Source organism: Homo sapiens, chromosome 3 (assembly GCF_000001405.40).
Source record: "Homo sapiens chromosome 3, GRCh38.p14 Primary Assembly".
NCBI lineage: Eukaryota > Metazoa > Chordata > Mammalia > Primates > Hominidae > Homo > Homo sapiens.
The window spans coordinates 134,432,934-134,448,684 of record NC_000003.12 but is presented as its reverse complement, the minus strand read 5'-3'; the positions used below and the strand labels follow the sequence as shown (position 1 = coordinate 134,448,684).

The following is a 15,751-nucleotide window of genomic DNA, read 5'->3' as shown; positions in this document are numbered from 1 at the left end:
ACAGCGTGCGTAGTTGGAGTTGGAAGTGCTTAGATCAAGAAAAGACAAATTAACTTGCCCAGTCCTTCCTGTCAGCATGAATGCAATAGGTGGCCTGGCATGACATTAACAGAATATACTTTCCCAGTCATGCTGAGCACTCGTTTCCTAACTTCTCTTCATGTTCCAGTGTGTGCCTCCAGAGGCTTTCATTATATAGTGCTGTGTTCATAATAGTTGTATATGGAGTGAGGAAGATTTTCAAATTAAATAATTCGCATTGCTCCTGAAGTTGGTTGTGGGCTGAATTTATGATGTTAAAGTATGTGGGCCTCTATTTGCATTCTTGATGTAGGCCCCACAAATGTTAGGGAAAGGCCTGGACAGTGGCACTCTGGTAACCAAGCAGAAGTCAACAAAAAGTTCGACGTAAATTGGGCCACAGTTCATGAAAACATTCCTATGATAGCTCATTAACAATGACGATAATCACAGCAGCAGTTCTGTAAACACACCTGTGGACACTGGGTGCTACATATTTTGCTCTCGTAATCAGCCTTTGCCTTGTTCTGTGTGGTGCCTCAGTGAGCTGTGGGCCAAGCACTGTGAGTCCCTGCCTTCCCAATGCAGAGACTCTGGGCTCTCTGTTGGTCCGCTCTCCAGATGTTTCTGGGGGTTCCCAGGTGCCATCCCACATGGGCTCTGAAGCAAGGCCGCAGACATGCTTCCAGTCTCCCTGCTCACCGCTGGCCCCAGCACTGCTGCCCCTTCTGCCCAATGTCCTTGTGAGGGCATCTCTGCTGCCGGCTGTGGCCGAGCCCCACCAGAGCATTGCTGCATGTCCTAGGTTGGGGACCTGGCTCCCGCTTTGTGCCCTTCTTCCATGCTCAGAAATCCCTCCCACACTGCTGCTCCAAGCACATCCTGAGACAGCCCCAGGCCCAACCTTGTCTTGAGAGTCCCTGTTGCACTGGCTTCCACCCAGCTCCCAGACATCCTCCAAGGACAGGGCCCTCTCCCCACACCCTCCATCTGGCTGTCTACCCTCACCCCACCCAATCTCCAGGAATCTCCATGGCACACCCTCAGCCCAGAGAGCAGGTATTTCCTTTCCCACATCATCAGTGGGAGTGCTGAGTGGTCCCTTTCAAAACAAACATGTTGTCTGCCCCCAACATGACCCTTTTGAAATGTCATTTTTCTCAGCTTTAAAGGAAAAGAAAAGGCCATGCTAAGGTCCAGTTTCACTTAATGATCCATTACACATCCAACAATCCACCTGCTGTCTTCTCAGCTACTAAAACCGTCTTTATTTCCAGCCTGCCCCTCAGAGTTGGGCACACTTCAGGAGCAGAGGCCAGAGCCAACACTCACCATACCTCACACACCTCTGGGGAGAAAAGGGTCCTTAAAGTCAACTTCTGGAGCCTTCCCAAAGGAATACAGGCTGCCTGCACACATTCAAACAGAGGTGGAGGATCAAGGAAACCATGCAGTTGAATCTTCTAACTTTAGAAGTGGGGAAACTGAGGTGCAGAGAGGAGAAGCAACTGATCCAGGGTCATTCTGCAAGTCAGTGGCAGGGCATGAGCTCTGACCCATGGCACTTTCCATCACAGAAAGTCTACGGCTTCTGTTCCCAGGAGACAAGCCCACGCTTCCTCAGTAAATGGCAAGGGACTTCCAGGGCCTTTTCATCACCCCGAAGGAGGATTGTGGTCAGGAAGTGTGGGCAGAAGATATTGGACAGTCACCAACTGAGCTGGCTAGCTCCAGACTTGTTTGGGCCTGGAGCAGGGGAAGGAAGTGTGACAGCAGAAAGAAGGGAAGGGGAAATGGGGACCCCCACACACCCTGGCTTCTGCAGCATCTGCTCTCTGCCTCCTCCTTCCTGGGTCCCTTCCTGGGTTCTTTCCTGTACCCTCTTCTGGGTCCACCCTTCCCTCCTCCCAACTGCAACACCTCCTGCCTGGCCTTCCCCACTGTCTCATCACCTGGGTCTTCCTCTGAGTAGAACAAGAGCAGCTGAGAAAGTGTTCAGGAAAGGAAAGGAAGGGGATAGTAAAGAGACAAGATATGCAGAACAGCTAATAGAGCTCCCCAAAGTGAAACCCTAATACTAACTCTAACCCTAACCCTCCATGCTGGCAGTGGAGCACCTTAGAGCAGTGGTCCCCAGCTTTGGCAGCACACTGAAATTACCCAAGGAGCTTTAAAAGATACACATGCCTAGACTCATCCCACAGACTGATTTATTTTTTTCAGTACAACTTAAGAACCAGGATTTGTAAAAGCTCCCTCAATGATTTAAGTATGTAGCCAAGGTTGCAATCCAATTATCAGAAGAAGAGTCCCTTGTCTATCTCATATTGGGTCCTCTGCTTCAATAAGAGGCAAATAATTTTTAGATAGAAAGTACTGAAATCTATTCTATTCCAAGCCTACACATCAGAAATCCTGATTGTTCTAGCCTGGCTGTCAGATTTTCTGCTAAGCTATCTTCCCTGGCATCTTGGACTTCTGCTACCACTGTCAAATCTCAAGATCTCTGATTCTCCATAGTCCTTTTCAGTTCCCAAAGCTCCTTCATGTGAGGCTGTATGAAAAAAAGCTTATAGTCACCACTGCTGTGAATGTGGTCTTTTTAAAAGCTCATCTCTATCTTATAGTTATGACAGAGTAACTGCTACCAGAGTTGTCCTACCACTGAAAACAATAAGAAAGTTGGACAAATTTATGAAACAGCTATTTCCAAATCCTAGACAACAAGAAGTGCAGAACTATGATCAACAAGAGTCATGAAACAAACAAGCAAGCCCTACAGTTTCCCTGGCTTTCTGCCAAGAGTCACTTTTCCAGACAGTGGTGCAGGGGAAGGAACACAAGCATAACACTGCAGTCTTGCCAAGTTAAGCAAGCAGAGATCAGGGTTAAGGGAGGCTAAATCAGCTGGAATTTATGGGGCAGAGCACTGGAACAGAGAGAACTATGCAGAGAACGAGCCTAGAATCTGCATAGGGGTCTCCTTGAATCTATTGCTGAAAACTAAGCTCTGAATGCTTAGGTTAAAACTCCACAAAGCTATGCAAAGAAGTACTGAGAATCTGTATGCTGAACAGTTCCTAGAGCTTACACAGGCTATGAGATAGTAGAGATCCAGCCAGAGGGAAGAGATCTCATTTAACACCCAGTGAACTCAGTGCAGATCCTAGAAGAGTTGTAACTTGGTAGTAAAACTAAATAAAAGAGACCTAAAATAAAGGCTACTCTAGACCTGCCTTAGAAAAATTTAACACAAACTTTGAAAAAAATGAGCTGATTCTAAGTTCCCTAAGTGCATGCCACAATAAAAATTTAATATTCTTTACAAGAAACAGAAGTCATCCACTCAAAAAGGTAACTGTGACAATGCCTAGCATCCAGTAAAAATTACTAGACATACAAAAATGCAGGAAAATGTGACCCATACTTAGGGGAAACATCAGTCAATAAAAACATACCCAGAATGACAGAGACTTTGGAGTTAACAAAAAAGGATATTAAAACAACTATTACAAATATGCTCATGTAAACAGACATAATGCGAAAAGAAATGAGAGCTATAAAAAAGAACAAATAAAAACTATACGGATAAAAAAAGAGGTATTAAATTAAAACTTTATTGGATGAAATTACCAGCTAATTAAACACTGCAGAAGAAAAGGCAAGTGAATTTGAAGACATAACAATAAAAACCCTCCAAAATGATACATGCAAAAGAAAAAAAAGACTAAAATAAATTAACAGAGCCTATTAACTATGGAAACATATCAAGTAGTTGAACATATGTGTGAAGAAGTAAAGGCCAGAAAAATACTTGATGAAATAATACCTGAAATTCTTCCAAATTTGAAAACATTTCTAAAACCACAGATTTAGTAAACTCACTTAATCCCAAGAAAGGTATGCACAAATAAAACTACATGACAGCATATTGCTGAAAACCAAGGATAAGGAGAAAATCGTAAAAGCAGACAGATTTTTAAAAGACAAATAACACATAAAAAACAAAATGAGAATTTCCATGATTTATCATTAGAAAAAAGTGCAAGCCAGAAGACAGTGGAATGACACTTTAAAAATTCTGAAAGAAATGAGGTCAGGAGTTTGAGACCAGCTTGGTCAATATGGTGAAACCCCGTCTCTACTAAAAGATACAAAAATTAGCCAGGCATGGTGGCACGTGCCTGTAGTCCCAGCTACTCAGGAGGCTGAGGCAGAAGAATCACTTGAACCCGGGAGGAGGAGGTTGCAGTAAGCCGAGATTACGCCACTGCATTCCAGCCTGGGTGACAGAGTGAGACTCTGTCTCAAAAAGAGAAAAAAAAAAATTCTGAAAGGAAAACAAATCAATAGGAAGTAAAAATATCTTTCAAAACCAAAGATGAAGTAAAGATCTTTTCAGACAAACACAAACTGAGAGAATGCATTGTCAACAAACCTGCTCTACAACAAGAATTGCTTTTACTTTATATTTATACTTTTTAACTATAAACAGAAATTTTTAATAAATATAAATAGAAGTTTTTCAGCTGGAAGAAAAATCATACTGATGGAAACTTGGATCTATACAAAGGAATGAAAAACACCAGAAATAATAAATAAGTGGGCAAATATGAAAGGTTTTTATTTTAAAATTTATTTAAAACATAACTGGTTATTCAAAGAAAAATAATAACATGTTGTGGGATTTATAACAGAAATAAAATGTATAATAACAACAGTACAAAAGATCGAAGAATTAAATAATATTGTTGTAAGTTTCTGTATTATATCCTGAAGTGGTATTATATTATTTAAGGGTAGAGTGTGATAAGTTAAAGATATATTGTGAATCCTATGTAACCACTAAAAAAAAAAAAGTCAACCAGATTTTAAAGAAGACCGAAGTATTAACATATGCTGTCTACAGGAACCCCACTTTAATTGTAGACACAGGAAAATTAAAGTTAAAAAAATTTTATAGAAAAAGATATACCATGGCCGGGCACGGTGGCTCATGCCTGTAATCCCAGCACTTTGGGAGGCCGAGGCGGGTGGATCACGAGGTCAAGAGATCGAGACCACCCTGGCCAACATGGTGAAACCCCGTCTCTACTTAAAAATGCAAAAAAAAAAAAAAAATTACAAAAAGGCGTGGTGGTGGGGCGTGCCTGTAGTCCCAGCTACTTGGGAGGTTGAGGCAGGAGAATTGCTTGAAGCCAGGAGGCACAGGTTGCAGTGAGCCGAGATCATGCCACTGCACTCCAGCCTGGCAACAGAGCGAGACTCTGTCACAAAAAAAAAAAAAAAAAAAAAGATATACCATGCGAGCACTAATTATAAGAAAGCTAAGATAGCTATATTAATATTAGATGAAGTAGACTTCAGATCAAAGAATATTACCAAAGATATAAAGGAACATTTCATAATAATAAAAGGGTGAATATGCCAAGAGAACATAACAATCCTAGATGCTTAACATCTAGGGTTAAAAAACAAACTTCAAAATACATTGAACAAAAGATAACTGACAAGAGAAATATACTTTATCTATAATTTAGATATTTATGTATCTAAATTTTTATCTAAATATGTATTTATGTATCTAAATTTTATCTAAATATGTATTTAGATATTTATGTATCTAAACTTTATCTAAATATGTATTTAGATATTTATGTATCTAAATTTTATCTAAATACATATTTAGATACATAAATTTATGTATCTAAATATTTATGTATTTAGACATTTCAATATTTCTCTCTTATTAATGAGTAGAGAGAAAACCAGCTAGTACGTAGAAGATTTGAACAATATTATCAATCAACTTGATCTCACTGACATTTATAGAACACCCCATCCCAAAACAGCAGCACACACATTTTTCTCAAGCGCACATAAAACATTTGCCAAGCTAGATCATATTCTGGGCCATAAAATAAGTCTCAATAAATAAAGATTGAATTATATATTCTCTGCCCACTCATAATTACATTAGAAATCGAGAACAAGAAGATATTTAGGAATAAAATCCCCAAATATTTGGAAATTTTTAAAAGTTTTCTTAATAACCCATGTGTGGCATTATGACACACACACACACACACACACACACACACACACACACACACTGGTTTCCTCTACCTCATACTGTAAAACAGAAAGCACGTAAACCTGTCCGTCGAGCAATATTATTTGGACCTGCTAAATGGAAACAAGTACGATTGCCAGGGCCCAAGCAGATATCCCTGTGTCCTTCCTGGAGGTGACCACCTGGGTCCATGAAATTAATTGATATAGGATAGTGGGTACTGCAGCAGTGGAGAGATGGGTTGAGTCAAGATAGTTTCTTTTGCACCCTCTCAGGCACATAATGCCAGTAAGAACTGTTCTGTTTGTCATAAAAGGAGACAGAGACTGCTGATGGCTATGCGGCAGATAACCTGGTGAAAAGGCCCTGAACACAGCTGGCAAGGGAGGCTGGTGCTGGGAGCCCTGGAGGCTGCAAATGGGTCTTGACAAGAATAGACACTGACTCTGGACTGGGCTTTTGCATGCCTGGTGGGAAATGAAAATGCTCGGAGTGCCATAAAAATTAAAAAAAAAAAAAAAAACAGAACAGAACAGAAGATATTGCATAAATTTGGATGGCTGACTGCCATTTCTTCAGACCAAGTAACACATACAGCCCATAATGTCCAACAATGGGCAGAGAGATATCCTCCCTCAACTAATAGTTCGATAGAGGAGAACAGGCAATTGAAACATTGGTTGCCTAAAGCAGGGAGAAACAAAAGCTTGCAGGGCTGCCTTGCACACCTTCACAATTTTGTGCTCACACTCAACATGAGTGGGACTATAGTATCCCCACTAGATTTTTTTCTCTGTTTTTCTGGTTGATCTGGGGAAGGGGAGGTGGGGAGGACACTGATATGAGTATGCACCTCTTGCTAGGGGAGGAGTATATTGGTATAATGGCTATAATTTTTTTTTCTTCCCCAAATCACCTCAAGAAAATTTTTTTTCTCCTCTCAGAATTCCTAAGGGCCTGATGCAGGTGGCTTGTGCGTTCACCCTCTGGCAAAACTGGGACCAAGGATAAATACAGTTATAATGCCTGGTGGTGAAAATGGCTCACTAGTTTGGAATCTATATAACCCTACCCTATGTGAATGGGAACAGGCTGAGTGGGAGGCACTTGCCAGACTAGTGCTGCTGCCTGCAATCTAGACCAGCACAGTGGCAATTCTAATGTCCTGTCCAAAGGTGAAAAATCTGGATATTAATGGAGAGCAGGAGAAATAGTAGATGAGTGTAAATGAATAAATAAATGAGTTATTAATTGAGGGAAGCTCAATATTACATGAACAACTCAAAAGTCTCAGAGCAACAGATGATACTGTCTCTTAGCTCAATTATTCCGTATGCCTGAAAGGGTGGAGCTGTATATTTGTCGGGACCACTCCTGTTTTGGGAACCTGAAAAGATTGAAAGGAAGACTGCAAACCTGAGTGGCCTCACCCTAGGACATTTGTACAATATGATGGACTGGACTAATTATTAATGATTCTGTATATTCTTTTGATGTAAGGGATCTGTGGTCAAAACCAGCAGGTGGTCTGTGGTGGCAATGGAAGCCAAGTTGATTAAAGGGAGGCTCCATGGAGGGCATACATATGTTTTGGTTTTCGTCCCTGATTCCTGGCTTAGGACTCCTAAAATCCTTGGGATCTCCAAAGTGCTGTCTTTTGTGTATGTGTTTTGTCTGATAGATTCAACGGTGGGGCTGGTCACTGGAAAGACCAAGGCGGGATTAGAGAGTTGGGACTTTCAGTCTCACACCCCCAACCCACAGGGAGGGGAAAGGAGTTGCAGGTCAAGCTGATTACCAATGGCCAGTGGTTTAATCAATCATGTCTATGTAATAAAGCCTCCATAGAATCCCAAGAGGATAGGGTTCAGAGAGGTTCCAAATAGCTTATCATGTGGAGGTTGCTAGAGGGTGGTGTGACCAGGGAGGGCATGGAAGCTCCACGCCCCTTCTCCCATACCTTGCCCTACACTTCTTTTCGTTTGTATCCTTAGTAATGTTCTTTAAAATAAACCAATAAATGTGTTTCCTTGAGTTCTATGAGCCACTCCAGGAAATGAATCAAACCCAAAGAGGGGGTAGTGGGAACCCCAACTTGAAGCCAGTCAGTCAGAAGTTCTGGAGGCCCAGACTTGTGACTGCAACGGGAGATGTCGGGGGCAATCTTGGGAACTGAGCCCCCAGCCTGTGGGCTCTGACACTGTCTCCAGGTAGATTGTGTTGGAACTGAATTGGACACCCAGCTGGTGTCTGTGGCTTGGTGTGTGGGGCTTTCCCCCACACATTTGGTCAAGAAGTCTTCCTCTGTGTTGATTGTTGTGGTGGTGTGGTGTGAGAGCAGAGGGAAACTCAGTTGGAGAGAGAGTTTTTCCCTGTACAATACAGGTCAAAGAAGAAATCATGAAGGAAATATTTTGAAGTAGATGAAAATAAACACACAACATACCATTTGTGCAAGGTAGCTAGAGCAGTACATAGGGAAAAATTAATAGCTTTAAATGCTTATATTAGAAAGGAAAAAATGTCTAAAATCAATTATCTAAGCTTCCAACTTAAGAAGCTAAAAAATAAAGATCAAATTAAGTCCAAAATAGAAAGAAGGAAATAATAAAGATCAGAGTGGAAACCAGTGAAAATGGACAAAAACAGTAAGAATATCCATTTTTTTAATTCGACGGTTTTTAAAAATAATAATAAAATTGATAAACCATTAGCTAGATCGATCAGGAAGAAAAGAGAGAAAACACAAATAACTGATATCAAGAATGAAAGACAGGCTGGGCGCGGTGGCTCACGCCTGTAATCCCAGCACTTTGGGAGGCCCAGGCGGGTGGATCACGAGTTCAGGAGATCGAGACCATCCTGGCTAACACGGTGAAACCCTGTCTCTACTAAAAATACAAAAAAAAATTAGCCGGGCGAGGTGGCGGGTGCCTGTAGTCCCAGCTACTCGGGAGGCTGAGGCAGGAAAATGGCGTGAACCCAGGGGGCAAAGCTTGCAGTGAGCCGAGATCATGCCACTACACTCCAGCCTGGGCGACAGAGCGAGACTCTGTCTCAAAAAAAAAAAAAAAAGAAAGAAAGACAGCATAAATAAGACAGAATATTATGAAGAACTTTATGCCAATAAATTTGACAACTTAGATAAAATAGACAAATTATTTGAAAAATATGATTTGCCAAAACTGGAAAAGAAGTTAAAAATCTGGAGTGCCATACACTTATTAAAGAAATTGAATTTGTAAATAAATCCCTTCCTACAAAGAAAACTCCAGGTCTAGATGGCATCACTGATGAATTCCTTACAACATTTCAGAAAGAAATAATACAAATTTCAGGTAAATATTTTCATAAAATAGAGGAGGTAACATTTCCCAATTTGTTTAGCGAAGATAACATTATCCTGATACCAAAACCAGACCAAGATATTGTAAGAAAAGAAAACTAAAGACTAATGTCCCTCATGAACATAACATAAAAATCTCTAACAAAATATTAGCAGAGTCTACCAATTTTATTTTTATTTTTAAAATTGTAATATTGTTTATTTAACTTCAAAAGCATTTCAGCATTCTAAACATACAAAAAAAAAAAACAACATTGCAAAGCGTGTTTAAGTACAGAAGGCTTTTGAACTTTCATTGATGCAGTGGCTCTTCCCTTTGCTGACACTGAAGAGTTCTACAGTTTGTTTAAGAAACAGTTTAAAAACTATCACACTTAACTAAAACAAACAAACAAAAAAACACTTCTCATGCCAGCCGACCCACCTTTGTCTATAGCTAAGAATGGAGGCAGAATGCTACGTCATTATATACAAAAACATGACAACCTGAAGTTAAATGGATGCCTGCTGCAGTCACCAGGTCCAACCTCACAGTGCATGAGCTACGACCCCTCCAAAAGGCATCTTCCCCTGCAGCCTCAATGCCAAGCAAGGAGTGTCAAGAGTTTGTCTCAATTGTTTTGTTCTTTTTACAAACTAGAGATATATACAGTGATAACTCAGGATTTCTAGCCAATAACTATATGTTAACACCACTTTACAAGTTAAAAAAAAAAAGGGGCGGGGGAGAAACATCTTTAAATGCCTTGTCACACCAACAGCAAAGTGCGCAGAGTGAGGAGAACACAAGATTATTTTTTCATTTTAAAAATGTTTAGAAATAAATACAATTTTGATACAGCTTCAGGGTGCTCTGGACACCGATGGCCATTTCATGTAAACCACTGACAATTTCTAGAGCACTTTGAGAGACTACAATCTGATCGTGATCAAATTTTGTAATTAAACCTAATGAGGGCAACAGACACTTGATGTGTTAATTAAGGTGCTCCCCTACTCTAACGTATTCACATGGAGACAGATAAACAGTTTTTAAAATTCATCCTTCTCATCCTCTTTTTCCTACTCGTCATCTTTGTCTTCCTCTTCCACGTTTTTTCCAGGCAACCTTAGCAGGACCCTTTGCACCATCAAACTTTCTTTTAGTCAGCAACATCTTTCTCATACTTCTTCAGCTTTGTCGCCTTGGTGATGTAAGGTGGCTTTTCACTGTTACATGTTAATCTACATCTCACCCAGCCTTTTTGCGACATTTCCAATAGAGATACCAGGGTTTGTGGATTTGATATTAGGGCAGAATTTGGAACAGAGCAGGAAGAATCCAGACAGTGGGATCCAAACGAAGGATTAGGGACCAACTAAGGGAGGCAAGAATAAGGATCCTAATGCCTCCCTTAGCTGGTCCGTAATCCTTCATTTCCCAATCATAGCATACTTTATCCACCTTTGCCATTTCATCAAATTTAGACTTCTCTTTCCCAGACATTATCTTCCGCTTCTCAGGGCACTTCCTGGAAAATTCTGCAAAATTGACAGGGACCTCTGGGGTTTTCTTCTTATGTTCTTCTCTGCACATCTGCACAAAGAAGGCATAAGCAGACATCTTGCCCTTTGGTTTCTTGGGGTCACCTTTAGCCATCCTGACTGCATTGTTCACTAGTCTGGGCAAGCACAGGGCATGACACGCAGCTCAGCACTCCCCAGCCTCAAGCTAGCTGCCTCCACGAGAGATGCCTTAAGATTTTTAAAAGGAATAACATGTTGTAAACAAATAGAGTTTATCCCAGGAATGCAAAGGTTATTCAACATTTAAAACTTCATAAACACAACTCACCATGTTAACAGAATAAAAGGGAACAACTACATGATCATCTCAAGATAAAAAACAAATGAAAAATGCAAACAAAACCATTTGACAAAATTCCACATCTATTCACCATAAAAACTCTCAACAAACTAGGAGCAGAGAATTTTCTCAGCTGATGAATGGCATCTATGACAAACCTAAACTAGCTTTATACTCAATGGTAAAAGATGGAATGAGTTCTAATCTAAAATCACGGACAAAGCAATAATATCTGTTCTTACCAATTCTAACCAACATTATACAGGAGATTCTAGCCAGTGAAAGAGAAAAGTAAGAAATAAGTGTCATGTAGATTTGAAAATAAGAAGTAAAACTATCTTTATTCTCATGTGACATGACTGTGTACATAGAAAATCCTGAGTCTACAAAAATGCTACTAGAAATAAGAAGTTTTAGATCATAGAATACTAGCTCAACATACAAAAATCAAATATATGTCTACATAATGTCAAGAACAATGGAAAAGAAATTTTATGATACCATTCTCAATACCATTAAAAAATTCTATATTTAGGGATAACTTAACAACAAAAAGGTATACTACTTGTGCACGGAAAACTACAAAACATTGCTGAGAGAAATTAAAGATCTAAATAAATAGACATGAATTGGAAGACAATATTATCAAAAATCAGTTCTCCCCAAATTGATCTGTAGATGTAATGCAATCTTGACAAGTTGATTCTAAAATTTATATAAAGCTGCAAAACACCTAGAATGGTTAAAACAATTTTTATAAACAACAACTTTGGGATACTTGCCCTGTCTGATTTCAAGACTTACTATAATTCTTTTTTTTTTTTTTTTTTTTTTTTTTTGAGACGGAGTCTTGCTCTATCGCCCAGGCTGGAGTGCAGTGGCGCGATCTCGGCTCACTCCAAGCTCCGCCTCCCGGGTTCACGCCATTCTCCTGCCTCAGCCTCCTGAGTAGCTGGGACTACAGGCGCCCGCCACCGCGCCCAGCTAATTTTTTTTGTATTTTTAGTAGAGACGGGGTTTCACCGTGGTCTCGATCTCCTGACCTCGTGATCCACCCGCCTCGGCCTCCCAAAGTGCTGGGATTACAGGCGTGAGCCACAGCGCCTGGACGACTTATTATAATTCTATAGTTATTAAGACAAGGTGGTATTAACATAAAGACAGACATATAAATCAATGAAACAGAGTCCAGAAATGGAGCCAAACATATGTGATCAATTATTTTTTAATGAAAAATAGATCATAGACCTAAAGATAAAAAACAAACTATAAAACTTCTAAGAGAAAAACTTAAGAGCACATTTTTGTGACCTTAGGGTAGGCAAAATTTCTTAGATAGGACATCAAAAAGCACAAACCATAAAATACAAAACATTAAATTGAATTTCATAAAAGTTAAAAATACGTCTATTTTTGAAAGATATTATTAAAAAAATGACAGGACTGACCAGGAGCTGTGACTCACGCATTCAATCCCAGCATGTTAGCAGGCTGGGAAGAGGGGAACACTTAAGCCCAGGCGTGCAAGACCAGCCTGGGAAACGTAGTGACACTCCATCTCTACAAAAAAATAAGAATTAATTAGCCAGGTGTGGTGGCACACACCCGTGGTCCCAGCTACTCGGGAGGCCAAGGCAGGAGGATCACTTGAGATCAGGAGGTCAAGGCTGCAGTGAGCTGTGATTGTGCCACTGCACTCCAGGCTGGGTGACAGAGAGAGACCCTGTCTCAAAAAATAATAATAATAAATAAATAAATAAAGACAAGTCAAGCCACAGAATGGAAGAAAATGTATCAGATTAATACACACACATACACACACATACACACACACACACACAATCTAACAGAGAACTTGTATCCAAAATATATAAAGAACTCAATAAAAAGAAAACAAACAATGGCAAAAGATTAGGCCAGACCTCACAAAAGAAGATACATAAAATGATGCTCAAAATCTTCAGTCACAGGAAAACACAAAGTAAGACCATAATAAAATACACAGCTTAGCCACTAGCGTGGCTAAAATTTAAGACTGACAATATAATGTGCTGACAAAAATGTAAAGCAACTAGAACTCTCATACATTGCTGATAGGAATATTAAGTGGTACAAAAACCTTGGAAAATAATTTGGCGGCTTCTGAAAAGTTGAAAATATATTATCTTACTCTCAGCAATTCCATCCCCAGGTATTTGCCCAAGAGAAATGAAAACATTTTCCACACAAAGACTTATAAACAAAAGCTTGTAACAGCTTAATTTATAACAGACAACTAATGTAAACAACCCAACTGTCCATCACAAATGAATGAATAAACTCATCATGGTGTATCCACTTAATAGAATACTATTCAACAATAAAAAAGGAACAAACTATTGCTAACCACAAAAAAGGACGAATCTCAAGAGCAATGTTATGAGTAAAAGAAACCAGATACAAAGAATTACATACTTTATGACTCCATTTACATGAAACTCTGATAAAGACAAGGGCCGGTGGTGGCTCACACCTATAATCCCAATGCAACAGGAGGCCAAGGAAGGAGGAATGTTCAAGACAAGGAGTTTAAGACCAGCCTGAGCAACAAAACAAGACCGTATCTCTACAAAAACAAAAAAACCAAAAAAAACCCTTAAATTAGCCAGACGTGGTGGCGCATGCTGTAGTCCCAGCTACCCAAGAGGCTGAGGCAGGAGGATCACGTGAGCCCACGAGTTCAAGACTGCAGTGAGCCATGATTGCACCACTGCACTCCAGTCTGGATGACAGAGCGAGACCCTGTCTTTAAAAATAAATTAAAATTTTAAAAAGACAAATTTAACCTATAGTGACAAAAGCAGATCAGTTCTTGCCTGAGGCTGGGGTGGTGGGAGGGGATCGACCGCAAAAGGATACAGGTAGTACCAGCCACAGAATTTGCAGGGCACAATGCAAAATGAACTTGCAGGGCCCCTTATTAAAAAAATTATTAAGAATTTCAAGGCAGCAACAGCAGAGCAGTAAATCAAGCGTGGGGCCTTTCTGAGCACATGTCCTTGTGTGACTGCACAGGTTGTGCATACCCATGAAACCAACTGTGGACACAAGTGAACTTTTCATGGTATGAAAATGTCCTATATCTTGATGGTGATATTCTATACCTACATTTGTGCACATTTATCAAAATGCATAAAGCTATGGTTAAAATGGCAAGAAAGTCCTAGATTATTGAGGAGAACAAAACTGCAGACAAAACAGCCAACACTCTGGTGATTTGAAGTCTTCGTTAATCTACTAAAAACAGCCCTTATGCCTTCAGATTTCAACCATGCCCTCTCCAAAAGCCTCCTAGAACATCCTCATCTTCTTTCATTGTTTATTTATTAAATATTTACTCATGGACATTATACAAGAAGCCAGAGACACAAAGACTTTTTAAAAATGCAATTCCTGCTATCAAAGAATGAATGTTCCAGCACTGCGCTATCCAATACAATAGCTATTAGCTACAAGTGGCTATTTAAATTTAAATAAATGAAAATTAAATTAAGTTTAAAATGTATTTATGTGTTCATGCTACATTACAATTGCCCAATAGCCACATGTGGCTGACAGAGATGAAACTGGACAACAATCTCTTGGCAGAAAATTCCACTGGACAGAGATACGGAGGCAGGCAATGGGAGATATACATTATCTAGGTAGTTCCACATCTGTCCTGGTGTGAAATACTTGCTGAAACCACATCTTTTGCATTCCATTACCTACAAACCAGAAGCAGCCAGGCAAGGGGGATGCAGTGGGTGTGGGGTCCTGCTTGCATGGGGAAAAACAGCCAACCCCTGGAAAGCTTGCCTTTTGTCAAACGTGAGCTCACCTTGTCTTTCTGGGCTAAAATATTCTTAAGAAGCTCTCAATGAGTATTTCTCTAGTTCATTACAGTTATCCAAGTATTACTTGTTGCTCCAAGTACCCCAGGTGAGAGCATCAGCCCAGAGGTCTTCAACTCCTCCTTCCCAGTAGCCTAAGGGATGTGATGCTTGACCACCAGCTGCACTGACTTCCTGTCTGAAATTTGGGGAGGGGCATATCAGTGGCTGCAAAGACAGTAGTAATTTGTTGCCGACCTCCACCCTGAGATTTGGAAACACTCCCTCCTGTCTTTCCTGATGAAAATAACTTTGCACCAATGTAATATTTTAATCCCCCAGCTGATTCATGAAACCTTTCTTCAGTGTATCTGTCAAGGAGTTACCAGCCTCTGCTTAAACACCTCCAGTGATGAAGAGCTCTACTTCCTACCCCAGCTCATCCATCACTCGGTAGCAGTCTTCCTTTGATGCAATCAGACAGAAGGTGGCTATGGAGACTCCTCCCATTTGTCCCGGTTCCCTGAGGGCTCCAGGTTCCCCACCCAGAACCTTATCCTCTCCTACCTAGAAGTCTGTCCTCATCAGCATCTCTCCATGAGCCCTGTGTAGGA

At 40.3% G+C, this 15,751-nt stretch overlaps 1 non-coding gene and 1 pseudogene across 1 annotated transcript; both read right to left on the bottom strand.

Annotated features, from left to right (window-relative positions):
- Positions 1 to 10,196: 10,196 nt before the first annotated feature.
- On the bottom strand, positions 10,197 to 11,127 carry HMGB3P13 (high mobility group box 3 pseudogene 13; annotated as a pseudogene).
- On the bottom strand, positions 10,779 to 10,858 carry MIR4788 (microRNA 4788). Its single transcript, NR_039951.1, has one exon. It is a non-coding gene; the product is annotated as a microRNA 4788 (primary transcript).